This window comes from Homo sapiens, chromosome 10, assembly GCF_000001405.40.
Source record: "Homo sapiens chromosome 10, GRCh38.p14 Primary Assembly".
NCBI classification, from domain to species: Eukaryota; Metazoa; Chordata; class Mammalia; order Primates; family Hominidae; genus Homo; species Homo sapiens.
In genome coordinates, this window is record NC_000010.11 from 66,101,597 (window position 1) to 66,118,176 (window position 16,580).

At 36.1% G+C, this 16,580-nt stretch overlaps 1 protein-coding gene and 1 long non-coding RNA gene across 11 annotated transcripts in view; one reads left to right on the top strand and one right to left on the bottom strand.

Annotated features, from left to right (window-relative positions):
* The window catches only part of CTNNA3 (catenin alpha 3), a 1,851,072-nt gene that overhangs the window by 189,074 nt on the left and 1,645,418 nt on the right, over positions 1 to 16,580 (bottom strand). For all 8 annotated transcript variants that reach the window (XM_047425124.1, NM_013266.4, XM_017016152.2 and 5 more), the window contains one exon: positions 1,561 to 1,653. In XM_047425124.1, coding sequence (XP_047281080.1) covers positions 1,561 to 1,653 — 93 coding nt within the window. The remainder of the gene's footprint in view (positions 1 to 1,560; positions 1,654 to 16,580) is intronic.
* The window catches only part of CTNNA3-AS1 (CTNNA3 antisense RNA 1), a 65,310-nt gene that overhangs the window by 22,357 nt on the left and 26,373 nt on the right, over positions 1 to 16,580 (top strand). The gene's annotated exons all lie outside the window — the stretch shown is intronic.

A 16,580-nucleotide genomic window follows, 5' to 3' on the forward strand; every position in this document is an offset into this window, starting at 1 on the left:
GCGCACTGTAAAAACAAATATGTAGATGCAAGATATTATTGTTAATAAAAAGATATAGTTAAGCTCTAATGAGATAGCTTTTTAAACATTCATTTCACATATGTCAAAGTAGATAAACAAACAAAATATTTTACATAATATGTTGTGGGATTTTAAAAAGGCAATCAAAAAGAATAGTAGAAACAGAATGTGACTCTCTGCATCTGTTTAAAATTAGATATTTTTCAGTGTATTTATCTTATATTACATTCTTAGGGAATAGAAATCCAAAGGATTCTAGGTAAAATTTGGTAAGGACTAAAGTTGTTTTTTCTTCTTCAAATCAGTTTCCACAAGCCATAGATTACAATAGAATATCAAAACATGTGAGGAATATCAACATTTTTTTTAAGGAAATGTGCACTAACACTCATTGTGACATGGAGTTAACCAAACGGGTCTTTGCTTGAAATGTTTCTGCAGAGCTTGTATAACAATATGTCTACAAAAACAGAGTATGCGCCAGCCTTTCAATATAAGTGCTTCAACATCAGATACAACCATAAGAGGCCAGAAAACAGAGGGAAAGGTTAGGAATTTGCTTCCATCTCCAAATTTTATGTCACCGAATTTAACTAACTTAATAATAATATTAATAATGATGATCATGATAATCCTACTATTGTTGCTGCTGCTATTACTACTATGAATGATAGTAACTAACAGTTATTGAGAAGTTACTATGAACTAGGCACTATATAAGTGGTCTGTTAGTTGACTCAGTTAATTCCCACAGTAATCCTCATATGAAGGATACTATTAGTATCTCTGCTTTACAAATGAGGGAACTGAGGTACAGAGAAGCTAATTGACTTTCCCAAGTAACACTCCAGAAGGAGGTGGCAGATGCACATGCATTCCCAGGAAGGCTTAGGCACTGTGCTGTACTACGTGGGTTTCAGATCCAAGGTTTGTTGTCTGGTCTGTAGTTGCAAGCGATAAGTGGCTAGGATGCCAAACTTTCACAGATACCCAGGCACTGGGTGGGAGTAAAGTGAAGTACAATATCTCAGAGTAATTCAGAAATTAGAATAACATATTTGGAGTTGTGTGGTGGTGGTGGCAGTGGTGGTGGTGGTGGTGGGGTGTGTGTGTGTGTGTTTGGGGGCAGGCACAGGAGAAGTTATTGTAGAGAAAGAAAAGTAGATTATTGACTCAGACGAGTTTTCTTCTCCACTAGAATTCCCGAGTATATTTACAACTTCTTCGTTTCTTTTTTCTAGTCTAAGCAAACATGTACATATTTCACTTTTATATTCCCATGACTCCTATAAAGATCAAAAGCAGTATGGAGTGATTCACTACATGACCTGAAATGGACTTACTGTGAGCTCTCAAGATAGAGGAAAATAATTCCCCTCATGTGGTTTCCCTTAATGCTAAGGCTTTTCTCCATGTGCTTCACAGAACTAGCTCCAGATCCAGGAGTCCCACCCATTAGAGGCTGCCTAGATTGACAAAGGGAGGGCACAGCCTTCAGTGACACAGTACATGGTTCTCCCACCAGTTGAAGTGACATACCCTATCAGTTTTCCCTTCGGTCTGAATGCTGGTGTGACTGCGGACCTCGTGTTCCTCTTCAAGGTCAGAAACATCCTCCAGTTCCTCTGGGGTCTATAAAAAGAAAGCAAAACATTGCTAGTGGGAATGTAAAAGCATTTCTTCTTTGGAAAACAACGCGGCAGTACCTTAAAAGGGTAATCATAAAGTTACCATATGACCCAGCAATTTCACTCCCAGTTATATACTCAAGAGAAAGGAAGGCATATGTCCACACAAATACGTATACACAAATGTTCACAGGAGCATCAGTCATGATAGCTAACAAATGGAAACCAAATGTATGCTTACTGATGAATGGATAAACAAAATGTGGTGCATGTGTACAATGGAATATAATTTGGCCATAAAAAGGAGCAAAATACTGATACACACCACAACACAGGTGAACCTTGAAAACATCATCCTAAGTGAAGGGAGCCAGCCACAAAAGGCCACATATTGTATGATCCTGTTTACATGAAATGTCTGCAATTGGCAAATCTATAGCAATAGAGATTTAATTAGTGTTTGCTAGGTGCTAGGGGAAAGGGGAAATGGGCAATGACAGCTGATGGGTATGTGGTTTCTCTTTGAGATGATAACAATGTTCTGCAGTTAGATAGTAGGAATGATCACAAACCCTTCTGAATATACTAAAAAACACTGAGTTTCATACTTCAAAATGGTGAGTTTTATGGTATATGAATTATATCCCAATAAATTGTGAGAGAAAAAGAAAGCAAAAAAATGATCACAGGGAAAATTTTATTTCAGTGAATAGCAATTTGGCTACCCACTATGTGGTTACTGCAAACCAAGATGCTTACAGTTGATAAATGCATTAGATAATCATCATTAAAATCATATATCATCAAAATGCCACCAGAAATTATCAAGAAATTAAAATTTTAGGGACTTAATAAATAATTCAACTTGAAATTCAGTGTCTATTATAAAGAGTTAGCTAACTTCCATTCCTTCTTTCAATTTCAGCTTAAATGCCTCTTTCTCAGGGAGGTGTCTTGCTCAGGAATCCTCTAGACTGGGCTGGATTCCCTGCCAAGTGTTTCCTAGCCCCCTCTACTTTATCTGCCATAATGATCATTATACTTTAATATATCATCGCTGAATTAGGCAGCTAATTGTTGAATTGTCTATTCTGTGAGGCAGGGACATGTCTTCCTTGTCATTTTTGCAAATACATGTCAAAGTGCTTAACAAGAATTAGCCTAGTATTTGTTTTAGTGCACAAGGTCTCAACTTAATATATTTTTTTTATTTCAATAGCTTTGGGGATACAAGTGGGTTTTGGTTACACAGATGAAATGCATGAATGTGAAGTCTGAGATTTTAGTGAGCTCTTCATCCAAGTAGTACACATTGTGCCCAATATGTAGCTTTTCATTCCTAATCTCTCTCCCATCCTCCCTGCTTCTGAGTCTCCAATGTCCATTATTCCACTCTGTATGATTCCTTTGCTACAAAATCCTGGTGACAAACCCAGAAAATAAGTATTTAGGTTTCATAGAAAACAACCAAAAACGAAGTAGAAGATGTCCTTGGGCCTGCATCTTTCATGCACATATGGCTGCTGAAGACTGGAAATGGGCAGAGCCCATCTCCTTAGACTAGCTCTGGTTTGCCTTAAACGTTGCTTTACACACAGACATTCTGTTTATTGTCAGGGCTGCCAATAGCCTTTCATCCCTTGGGAGCACTCCAGAGATGGGGACATTTGATGATTAGCTCATATTATATAGCAAAACTACCAATTTCCTATTCATTAATGGCTTCAGATTCTTTCTCATCTCATAGATCTTTAAACAGCACTTTCTTTGTTCTCACACACTTGCACTGAGCAATACCCATCCCTTTGCAGAAGAGCATTTTGCATTTATTTCAACCAATTCCTATCAGATATTAACATCCCCCCTCTCGCCAAAGCCTTCAATGTGCTATTTTTTATCTCCGTGTTGATCTCTTTGCAATCCTTCTTTGCTGCAACTACATGCAGCTATTATCTCAGGACAATTTATTCTTTCTTCTTAGGTATTAATAGCACAAGTTCATTACGATGTAATTTCTATACAATCATATATCGCATTATTAGCCTTTTTGTGCATTCTTGTCACAGTATTCTTGAGAAAGCATCTTTGCAATTTCCCTCCTTGTTATATCACCAGGCCCTATAACATTTGAACAAATTCAGTTAATCAAATTCTCTTTCTTGTGCCCTGTTGTTTTGCAACTGAAGGCTGTCTGGTGTCCCTACTGTGATCTATTCCTTATAAATGTCTGCTGTTTATTACTTGGGTTATATCCTATCATGCAATGACAAATAACTTCATCATCCACTCCTATAGTTTATTCAACCCCCAAATAAAGTAACAAACTAAGAACAATTGCTGCTATCAGAAGTCACAAGTGCCATTTTTGTTGGGGATGCTGTACGAAGAGATAAGCCTACCATTTACACCCACATACTTCTGTGTTTTTCTTTGTGTTTAACACAGGATTAATAGTTTTCTTGCAAAGCTACAAAAACTGACCTCTTCTTTTCATGAACAAAATCAGTGGGGAAGTGTTCAAAACACTTGCTGGCAGCATTTCACATTCTGTAAGGCATGGTGTTGGATGGTATTGTGAAAATAAATAGTTAAATACAAAATGCTACAGTTTAAGTGGAAACTAAGAAAGAGAAAGGAGTACTCTAATAATTTTGAGGGCAATACATTAACTCCTTCAGCACTAAACACAAATAATAGAAACAGCAAATATCCCAGCACTTTGGGAGGCCAAGGCGGGTGGATCACCTGAGTCAGATGTTCGAGACCAGCCTGACCAACATGGAGAAACCCCGTCTCTACTAAAAATACAAAATTAGCTGGGCGTGGTGGCACATGCCTGTAACCCCAGCTGCTCGGGAGGCTGAGGCAGGAGAATTGCTTGAATCCAGGCGGCGGAGGTTGCAGCGAGCCGAGATCGCGCCATTGCACTCCAGCCTGGGCAACAAGAGTGAAACTCCATCTCAAAAAAAAAAAAAGAAAAAAAAATGGGGTGGGAAAGGAGGGATGATAGAGTACCCTAGATCATGCCTTCTTAAAATTGTCTGCTTCTACCTATCTGGTAAACATCTGGAAGTTTTGTGTGTGTGTGTGTTTGTGTGTGTGTGTGTGTGTGTGTGTGTGTGTGTGTGTGTGTTTCTAATCAATTTCATTCTGTGAAAGATTAACTATCTTAGAGGCAGTGTTATATATTAGAAAGGCCCTATAATATTGAGTAATGCAGACCTGAATTTGAGTTCTGGTCCTCTAATGAGTGATTATGGGCAATATGTGTTCTCTTTTAAAGTTTGTTTCCCTCAGAATAAAATTCGGATAATAATACCTAATCCCAAAAGTTGTTGTGAGGCTCAGTTACACTAAGATGCTTTGGGTAAGAGCTTAGCCCACAGACCTAGCTGGATTGTGGCAAAAGTTTATTTCTGTTTGTTGCTTTTCCTCTTCTTTCTCCACTACCTTATACCTCATCCCAATATACACCTTTATATTTTTATTAAACATTTATGTAAATTTATCCAAATTTTAATCACCTTTATTCCAAATTTAATAATTTTAATCCAGTATAATCCAAATTTATTTTTGATTTGGAACTTTGGATAAGCCACCAATGTTTCTGTCCTTTAGATTCTACACAGACATTATTTTGGGTTGACATGGTACATTTACTAGTTGCCTCTAGTTACAGTTACCTGAGTTTGATTATCTAATGTCATTGTGCTAAACAGGGTTTAATATAATTACCCATGCACTGCTTCCTTCTAAAATCCATGTAAGAGATCTCTTTTAATTGGACTTTAATCATGTCTAACAGCGAAATTATCTCTTAAACTGGCCTCAGCAAAGATTCACTCTAGCATGATTCTCAGGGATGATGGAAATAATTTGTCTTCTTTAAGCTGGGCTGTCTCTAAACCAGACAAAGATGAAGAGAGCCCATTTTTTCAGAAAAAGTGTTAATCAATGCAGACATTAACGTTATTTCTCATATCAGAATTGTGGAGATATATTTCATATTTTCCTATTTTACCTCTGGCTTATTATGGTGTCTTCCTTAGGCAGCCCAAAAGTGATTTGGAATAGGCTTAGTTTCTTCACCTGTAAAATAGCACAAATACTACCTAATTTTTAGGGTTATTGTAAAGATAAAACAAGATGACGGACTAGAACATTATTCGGTGACTGGGAAATACTGAATTATTAATATTGTTTATGAATATTATAGATTATCATTACTGTTGCTATCTCACTTGATTCAAGCAAAAGAAGCCAAAAACAAATATAGAAGTTGAAGCTGAAAACATTCAGGCTGAGGTGTTTACATAGAAGCCAGGACAGCAATGACATAGTAGTAATACATTAAGACTTCAGGGTCACAATACATTTCATATATATATCCTTTTTCCCACAAGGAGTTCAATCCTTTCTATAGACATTATCTCACTAATCCTTTCAGGATCCCTAATGAAACAGGTGGCATTATTACAATTAAAAATTCACTTGCGCAGACTTTATAAATATTTAATATTAAAATACAAAAAAGAAATTTGTGGTTGCTAAATTTTAAAGAAGAGAGAAAAAAACACAGGAAGAAAATAAAAAAGAAATAAAAAGTATTAAAAATACTGTGGAAAACAAGAGTCATGCTTGGCTTCTTCTCAGAATTATGTTTGAATTCTAAACCATACACATGACTTATTAAAAATATAATTCACTGGCTAGCTTTCACTGACTTACTAAAATCAAATAACCACCACAGTAATGTCAGGAGTGGTCTCGCACTCAGAGAAGCTCTTAGGAAACATGCTATGAATGTCCATCCCAAGCAGGAGACTAACGTCACATGTTCAATGATTTCATTCCAGCTGAGGTAGTAACGTAGGATGATTTTGCAATGTCAAAATGGAGAGATCACAATTAAAATACATTTAAAAAATAAAAATATATCAATGACACAATGCCAAAATAAAGAAAATTAAGACATGGCCCTTGTTTAACACACACACACAAACAAACACTGAAGTTCCTGCCCCACACCTTTGACCATGAGACTGGCACTCTACCTTATAAATATTCAAGAAATCAGTGACATTTCTGTTACACTGACCCCTTTTCTCCTCCTCAAACATGTCCCACTTGTCAGCACTTTCCACTTAAGACTCTTTGTGTCTTTCTATTTACCCCTTCTTGCAGACTGGATCCTTCTCGGCATGGGAGCTCAGATGCTCTCTACTCAGAGAAGTCTCCCCTGGCCAGTCTAACTAAAGTTAACCCTTTTCCCCATTTCATTTATTTCTTATATTAGTGTATATATTTTCTTTAGGTCCTTTTTCATGATTTTCACCTAAAATTATATTTTCTCTTCATTTTTTTCCTTTTTTTGGCAGGTGGGTTACATTTTTTATTTTATCCCTACTAGAACTTAACTTACATGAAAATAGGGATGTTGTTTGTCTTGTTTTCCACTCATGAAATGGCACATAGTATGTCTCAATTTTTCTATTTCTTAGCTGAATAAAGGAGCAAACAATTTAATTACTGACAAGCTTTTGTTATTGATCAATTTCACAAGAAAATCATGGGAACATTTTTGAGCTGTGGAGAATGTATAATCCTTTGCCTTCTGTCTTTTAATAAGTATTGAATCAATAATTCCTTGCCTAAAGAAAAGTATATGCAAATATTCTTGAATTTTAAAAAAATCCTATGGAAACTAGAGATGAGATTTTGTGTAGAGAAAGGTTTTCCATAAGCTCAGAAGAGATTCTCAGATGTGGAGGACTAAAAAGTTTATGATTCCATAATCAGTACTAACTTGCCCTACTCCTTGACAATCCAATATGGATAAAAAAGACTTCAGAGAAAATGTCATCCAGTAAGCCCAGAACAGTGTTTCAAATCTTACCATAGCCCCGTGCCACAAACTTGTCATGGAAACAGTGGTAGACCTGAAAGGGTTACATGGGCTGGGACAATGGATGTCTCATTGGCAACCAGTGTGGGTAAATGACAGGGTCGGTGAGACTCCCTGACATCTTGATGCAGCCCAAGCCTCCAGAGACAGACTTAGCCTCAAGAGAAGTGTTTCTCAGTCTTAGCATTGTTGACGTCTTGATCTGAATAATTCCAGTTGTGAGAATCTGTTTTGTGTATTGTAAGAAGTTTAGCACCAACCCTAGCTTCTATCTACCACACACATTTGGACCCTCTCAAGTCATGAGATATAATTAAATATGTTTCCAGACATTACCGAATATCCCCTGGAAATTTGGAGGCTTAGGAATCACCCACTTGAGAACCATTGCTCAAGAATTTTGGCTCACTTGGCCCAACATAGGTAGCAGGAGTAAGGGAAGGCCCAAGAATGACTATATTTAAATTTCCCATGAGCCAAGTTAAAAATAAATTTACTTGCAAATAAGTATGTAAACTGAAAGTCATATCCCATATAATAACATTATGTTTACAAGACAAAAGAGAGAAGACATTTTAGTCTTAACCAGACTACTGGAAGAAGATATCAGAAAATGTATGAAAATGAGTTAATAGGTGCAGCACACCAACATGGCACATGTATACATATGTAACAAACCTACACGTTGTGCACATGTAACCTAAAACTTAAAGTACAAAAAAAAAAAACTACAAACTTGCTTGCAGCCTTTTTTAAAATTTGTTTTTTAAATTTTTAATTGATAATTGTATATATTATATATTTATGTAGCATACTGTGATGTTTACAACAGTATATATTAACATTATGAAATGATTAAATTCTAATTAACAAATCTATCTCTTCACTCATGTATCATTTTTTTGTGGTGAAAACAATATTCAAAAGGGTCTGGGCACAGTGGCTCATGCCTGTAATCCCAGAACTTTGGGAGGCAAAGGAGGGTGGATCACCTGAGGTCAAGAGTTCAAGACCAGCCTGGCCAACATGGTGAAACCCCGTCTCTACTAAAAATACAAAAAATTAGACGGGTGTGGTGGCGTGTGCCTGTAATCCCAGCTACTAGGGAGGCTGAGGCAAGGGAATCATTTGAACCTGGGAGGTGGAGGTTGCAGTGAGCCAATATCATGCCACTGCACTGCAGCCTGGGTGACAGAATGAGACTCTGTCTAAAAAAAAAAAAAAAAAAAAAATTCAAATCAATATGCCTAAGAGATATCTGCACTTCCATGTTCACAATAGCTAAGAGATGGAAGCAACCTAGGTGTCTTTCATTGGATGAATGAATAAAGAAACTGTGAGCTCTCCCTCTCTCTATATATACACACACAAACATATACACTCAGTGAAATACTATTTAGCCTTTAAAAAAAGGAAATTCTATCATTTGTTTGTCATCTTAATACCAGAATTTAATAAGCTGCTTTCATTCTGCTGATCTTGTTTTTATCTTTTATTCATAATGAGATTATCTAAAGATATCCAGTGCTAATCTAAGTTTGCTTGATTATATAATCAACTCAAGTTAACTCAACTAACATATTCGATTGTCTTACATATACAGTCATGTTGCTTAACAATCAGGACACATCCTGAGAAATGTGTCATTATATGAATTTGTCACTGTGCAAGTATCATAGAGTATATTTAAACAAACCTAGATGGTATAACCTACTACACACCTAGGCTGTATGGTATAACCCATTGCTCCTAGGCTACAAACCTGTATGGCATGTTACTGTACTGAATACTATAGGCAACTGTAACACAGTGGTAAATATTTGTGTATCTAAACATATTTAAACATAGAAAAGGTAAGGTGTTGTGTCACGATGTTAAGATGGCTATGGCATCTAATATGGTTTGGATTTGTGCTCCGGACAAAATCTCATGTCGAATTGTTATCCACAGTGCTGAGGGAGGGACCTGGTAGGAGGTGATTGGATCACGGGGGCAGATTTCCTCCTTGCTCTTCTCATGATAGTGAGTGAGTTTCCATGAGATCTATTTAAAAGTGTGCAGCATCTCCTCCTTGGCTCTTTTCTTCCACCTCCTGCCCTGTAGATGTGCCTGCTTCCCCTTCACCTTCTGCCATGATTGTAAGTTTCCTGAGGCCCCTCCAGCCATGCTTCCTGTACAGCCTGTGGAACTGTGTGCCAATTAAGTCTCTTTTATTTATAAATTACCCAGTCTTAGGTAGTGCTTTATAGGAATGTGAGAACAAATAATACAATGTCATTAGGTGATAGGAATTTTTCAGTTCCATTATAGCCTTCTTAGGGGACCATTATCCTATATGCAGTCCATCACTGAATGAAACATTGTCATGCACGGCATGGCCGTATGTAGACAGGAACAATTATGCTAGATACTGGGAATCTTGAAGGAAATAAAACACAATCCTTGCCCTCAAGAGAGATAAAGGGTAAGAATATTAGATGGAGATGAAAGATATTCCATAGAGTTATATGATTTGAGACTGAAGTTGAGTGGTTAGAGATGAAAAAATTTCCTGGGATGTGTCAGGCAGAAGAGAGGAACGAGTGTAAAGCACCTGAGGAAAAACTGGGAAGATATTTCTTATATCGCCAGAAAGCTGGTAGGCTTGTGTTACGGTGGGATATTAATGGAACTTGAAGTTAGGATACTTGGGTGTCCTAACTAAACTAGTTGTTTTTTGTTAGGCCAATCTCAGACTTTTCCTATGCTTAAATTCCTTGACCTTTAAAATGAAGATGAGAAGTAAGTAAAACTGATAATTTTTGTAAATCCTTTGAATTTTCAGTTTTTATGAATTGATGCTTAAACTGAAAACATAATAAGGCTGTGACAAACATTAGGCTGGATCAAACACCTCCTCAACACTGAGAGATCTCAACGCTAGTGAAGATTCGGTAAATCTGTTGAGTTCAGTTGATTGAAACATAGTCCACTCTAATTCATCACATCAATTCAAAATAGGGTTAATCTCCTGAATACACATATCTTTCTGTTATAGCCACCAGAGGGAGAAGGCATCTAGTATTATTCTCAGTTTTATAACCCAAGTGTCTAACGGTGCCTGGCACACAGTCAGTACTCAGTAAATACATATTTTATTGAGTTAATGCAACAGAAGAATAAATGAAGATGCAAATAAGATGTATGTCTCTATTTGTCAAAATCAAGAATTGGTGACTTTTCTTCTTACAATCTTTTAAAATATAATTCAAAACTGCCTCCAGGAACCATTAGCATCCCTCTATTTTGTTATTATTTTTCTTTACACTATTATTATCAGTATTGTATTAACATTTAATATGAAATCTACCCTTAACAAATTTTTAAGTGAATAACATAGTATTGCCAATTATAGGTACAATGCTGTATATATAGTAGGATCTTTATTTATTTATCTTGCATAATTGAAATTTCATAACTTTGGAGCAGCAACTCCTCATTTCCCCTCCCCTCAGCTTGACAACTACCATTCTGCTCATGGTTTCTAGGAGTGTAAAAACATTAGTTACCTCATATAAGGCAAATCATGCAGTATTTGCCTTTCTGCTAATGGCTTACTTCACTTAGAATAATGTCCCCAAGGTTCACACTTGTCGTTGCATATGACTGATCTCCTTTTTTTTTAAGGTTGAATTGTATTCCATCTTACAAGTTTATCACATTTTAGTTACCCTTTCATCTGTCAATGAACACTTAGATTGTTTTCACATCTTGGCTATCGTGAATAATGCCGAAATAAACATGGGAGTCCAGATATCTCTTTGAGATCCTGATTTCAATTCTTTGGGACATATAACCAGAAGTAGGATTGCTGGATCATATAGTAGTTCTGTTTTTAATTTTGAGAAACCTCCATACTATTTTTTAAAGCAGTTGTACCATTCTACATTCCCACCAACAGAGTACTAGGGCTCCAATTTCTTCATATACTCACCAACACTTATCTTTTCTGTGGCTGTTGATAATAGGTATCCTAAGAAGTGTGAAGTGATATCTCATTGTATTTTTTTTTTCATGTCCATGATGATTAGTGGTACTCTGGCTCTAAGTTATACTAAGCTTGAGATGAATTCAATTTTCACCTATAGCATGCATAGAAGTGTGTCAGTGGACCTGCAAGATGTTCCTAAGTTATTCTTTTTTCTTTAATTGTTTGAATTAAGCTCTACGAATAAGCACACCTACTAAACATGCTCTGAGACAGAGCTGTGAGTTTATATCCTATTTCCAAATTAGGAACAGAAAATCTATGGTAAGTGACTTGCAAAACTTCTTACAACATAAGGCTGGAACTATGGTAGAACATAATATCTAGGATTGACTATCCAGATTCAAGGTCAAACGCTGCCCTTAATATCTTGTGACCTAAAACAAGAACTTAACTTGTTGAGAACACAGCTTCCTCAGTGGTACATGAAAAGATTGGACTAATTATTTATAAAATTTCAGTCATTTTTATTAACTTTAGAATTTTATGATAGGTTTAGCAAGGTATCAGGAAAGATAATGAATATCTATTTCAGAAAACTTTGTATTGTCAGCATATCCTTTATTCAACATGCTGAATACAATTTTAGATCACAAATCTCTTATAGATTGTTAACTTCTCAGGAAATTAGAAACAGCTTTTTAAACTTCCTTTATGCAGGACTATGTAGGATGATGTGAGGGTTCTTCACGCACAGCAATTGCTGATGCCATTGACAATTGTGGCAATACCATTACTCTTCTTGATCTATGGGGGGAGGTGGTTGAAACCATGCAATAATAATAAGAGCAGTAGTGGGGGGAATGCTAAAAATGGTGGTGGCAGCAGTAGTAGCAACAGTAGCAGCAGATGGCTAGAAACACACCCTGACCTTCAACTCTTATGTCTGAATGTCGGATCAAAAATCAGAACACCGGTGCCATGAATATCAGACCTATTCCAATTTATTTTAGTGAGGAAAATCTCACCTTTTTCATCAAACTCTATAGCCAAATAAACTCTACATATGTGATTTTTTTTATCTTATCCTTAGACTAGACAGTAAAAGGGAGTCTAACTTAAAATTTGTTCATTTTTCTTTTCCAAAAATGCTATTCTATAGATATTAAAATAAGAGTTTCAGAGAATGTCTAATAGCAGAGAAAATGCACTTGAAATATTGTTAACTGAATATCTGTATATATATGTGTGTGTGTGTATATATGTGTGTATATATGTATATGTGTATATATGTATATTTGTGTATATTCGTATGTATATATGTGTATATATGTATATATGTGTATATATGTGCGTATATGTATATATGTGTATATATGTGTGCATATATGTATATATATATAGTCTAATTATTTAAAACTCATATTGTCCGTGTATGTGTGTGAGAAAGAGGAAAATAAAATGAAAAATATATATATATCGGTTGGGTACAGTGGCTCACATCTGTAATCCCAGCACTTTGGGAGGCGGAAGCAGGCAGATCACGAGGTCAAGAGATCGAGACCATCCTGGCCACCATGGTGAAACCCCGTCTCTACTAAAAATACAAAAATTAGTTGGGCGTGGTGGCACGTGCCTGTAATCCCAGCTTCTCGGGAGGCTGAAGCAGGAGAATCACTTGAACCCAGGAGGCAGAGGTTGCCATGAGCCAAGATCACCCCACTGCACTCCAGCCTCAGCGACAGAGTGAGGCTCCATCTCAAAAAAAAAAAGAAAAAGAAAAAGTAAAAGAAAATATATCAACATATTTTATTAATTATCATCTATGGGTTGTAGAATATTATAAGTGACTTTTCCTCTTTTAGTTGATTTGTCTCTAAGTTGTTACAAAACATTTTTCTATCTTTTATCATAAGGAAAAAAAACAAGCAATGAGTGTTATAGGAAAATCTGCTTAAGGTTGAACGTACCATTTCAAGGACGTGTCAGCAATACAAAAAGGACAAGATTGCAAAATCTGCAGTGGGGTAGTATAGCTGGCCTTGTCACCTTGCAATAGGTCTATCAACGTTGCATGATATTTGAAGCTGATGTGGACACAGAAAAAATCTTTCGATTGACAAGAGGAAAATTGCAGTGTATGTCTTTATTATCAGAGCAAACATTAAAGGGGGTGGTGACAGCAGATACAGAGAAGTGTCCCTTACCAGGTCCCATGCTATTTCCCTGTTTTGTATGGTCTTTTTTGTTCTGTGGATGCGTAAAAGCTGTTACTTCATTATTTTAGGTATTACATTTTCAGTGTCTTGGAAAGTGGTTTTACAAAAGTTTTCCATAACAAAGATTTTGAGGGAAAGAGATGTTGTGGTTTGACTTCCCAATGGGGAATATAGATAGATAGATAGATGATAGATAGATAGATAGATAGATAGATAGATAGATAGATAGATAGACAGATAGATGATAGATAGATAGAGATAGAGATAGAGATAGAGATAGAGATAGAGATAGAGATAGAGATATAAACTGACACGATGTCTTTTACTTTCAGAAATCGTTAAGCTGCCAGGTATAGTATCAACAATCCTAACCAAATTCATCTGGTTACATTTGCAAAGTAATCCTAGGCACAGTAATAAAGCAAAAAACTGCCTGCTGTGTTCCAGCCACGGATGTTAAGTAAGGATAAGCAGGACGGCCAAAACTGACACTCCTATTTCACTGGTCAAAAAAAAATATGAAAGAAATTACACATTACTGTAGGGGGGTGTTGCTCCATAAGACAGTAATTCAGATCTATATTAGACTTTTGGACATATTATTCAAGGTTACTGGATTGAAGTTTGCTTTATGGGACATAAGAATTCCCTACACTGCTAAATTAAAGTAGCTTAAGTTGGCAGCTTATATATAAAATAGAAAACTAGAATGCGACAAAACAAATATTTGGACAACACCTAAGGAAGAATTATGCTCTGTATTTAAAGAGATTTTTAAGTTCCAAAACTAAAAGGCCTATTTGTAGAGGCAAGTGAATACATCATTGTATAAGATGTAGTCAGATATAAGTGGCTGTGAAACTAGCTCATGGCAAATGCATTGTGCTGTTTCTACACAGACTTGTCCTGACCAAAGGAATTAGGACAAATGAGGAAACAAACTTAATGTGGAGAATTGTTTTTTTTAAAATGTCCATGTATTTCTTAACATATTAAATATTAAATATATACACACCATAGAATCTAGTCATTCTACTTGTTAGTATTTACCAAAGAGGAATAGAAACACATATTCACACAGACTTGTATACAAATATTTATAGCAGATTTATTTGTAATATCCCAGTAGTGAGAACAACTCAAATCTTAATCAACAGATGAATTATTTAACAAATGGTATGCCCATTTAATGAAATATGATTCAGTAATAAAAAGGAATAAATTTGATTAAAGCAACAATATTTATGGATCTAAAAATAATTATACTGAGTAAAAGAAGCTAAATAAAAACACATACTGTATGTATTAGTCTGCTCTCACACTGCTATGAAGAACTACCTGAGACTGGGTAATTTATGAAGAAAAGATGTTTAATCGACTCACAATTCCACAGGCTGTGTAAGAGGCATGGCTGGGGAGGCCTCAGGAACCTTACAATCATGGTGGAAGGTAAAGGGGAAGCAAGCACATCTTCACATGGAGCAGGAGAGACAGAGCCAAGGGGGAAGCGCTGCACACTTTTAAACAACCAGATCTGGTGAGAACTCATTCACTATCACGAGAACAGCAAGGGGGAAGTCCGCACACACGATTCAATCACCACCCCCCCAGGCCCCTCCTCCAACACATGTGGATTACAATTCAACATGAAATTTGGGTGGGGATACAGAGCCAAACCATATCACTGCATGATTCCATTTATATAACATTCTAAAACTTGCCAGTCAATCTGTAGTGGCAGAAATCAGATCTGTGGTTATTTGAGAGTTGGTGGGAGGAGTGAACAGATTGTGAAGGGGTATGAGTAAGCTTTTGGGTTTGATATATGGGTTCCTTATCTTGATTATGGTGATAGCCTTGGGGTTTTATACATAAGCCAATAAAACATATTAAATTGTATATTTTAAATGTGCATTTTATTAAATGTTATGCCTCAATGCTGTCAAAAATGTGAAATGCCTATATGAACTCTTATTACATAGTGTAACATTGTTTGGCAAAATACTATATTATATATGCTACTAATATAATATAGTATAGCTGAAGTTCTGTTGAATAAATACATAAAAGAAGTAGTAATGCTACAAGATCATTTTTAATCAATTAATATACACACTTATTTTCTATTTTAAAAAATGAACTTGATTTTGCAGCAGGGGACCACATATTTTGTTGTTGAGTAATGAAAGATGAGCTTCAGTTGAGAGACACCTTGTTCATGAGTCCTCTCACCAGAGGAACTTAGAGATCAAGAAACATTGCAGCTTTTAGTAAGCATGCTACCAAATGTAGGCTTTTCTATATGGATGTGAATGTGAAAGGACCACTAATAAGGCTGGCAATATGGCAGCAAATGTGATTCTCCTATCACTTTATAGTGTTTATGAAATATCAAAGCAAGTTTCATTTAAGTCAATGGTTTTCAAAAGTAATTTAAGTAGTAAAACCATTTTTAATAAAATTATAGAATGCCAATATTATTGACAACTATATAAGAGTACTATGGAGCTATCCTAAGTAAGCCATAACACCACGGAGCTGGTGTGTGTGGATATACAGTGTGAAGTCTGGATCATCAGGCCACTGGCCCTGCCCGCCTTCTAAAGCAGCCCAAGAGAGAGACCACAGCTGAGGGACCACCATGCTGTGTAACCTGGGAGAGTTACCGTCAGATGTTTGATTATGTCTGACTGAATTGGCATGGACCAACTTTTAGTTAAACATGGAGGATTTAAGAAAATTATGCACCTATACTTCCTCTTATATACGACTAATTTGACTATAGTTTATTTAAAAATATACCAGAGTTAAGTAATAATAAAGCAATTACAAATAATCAT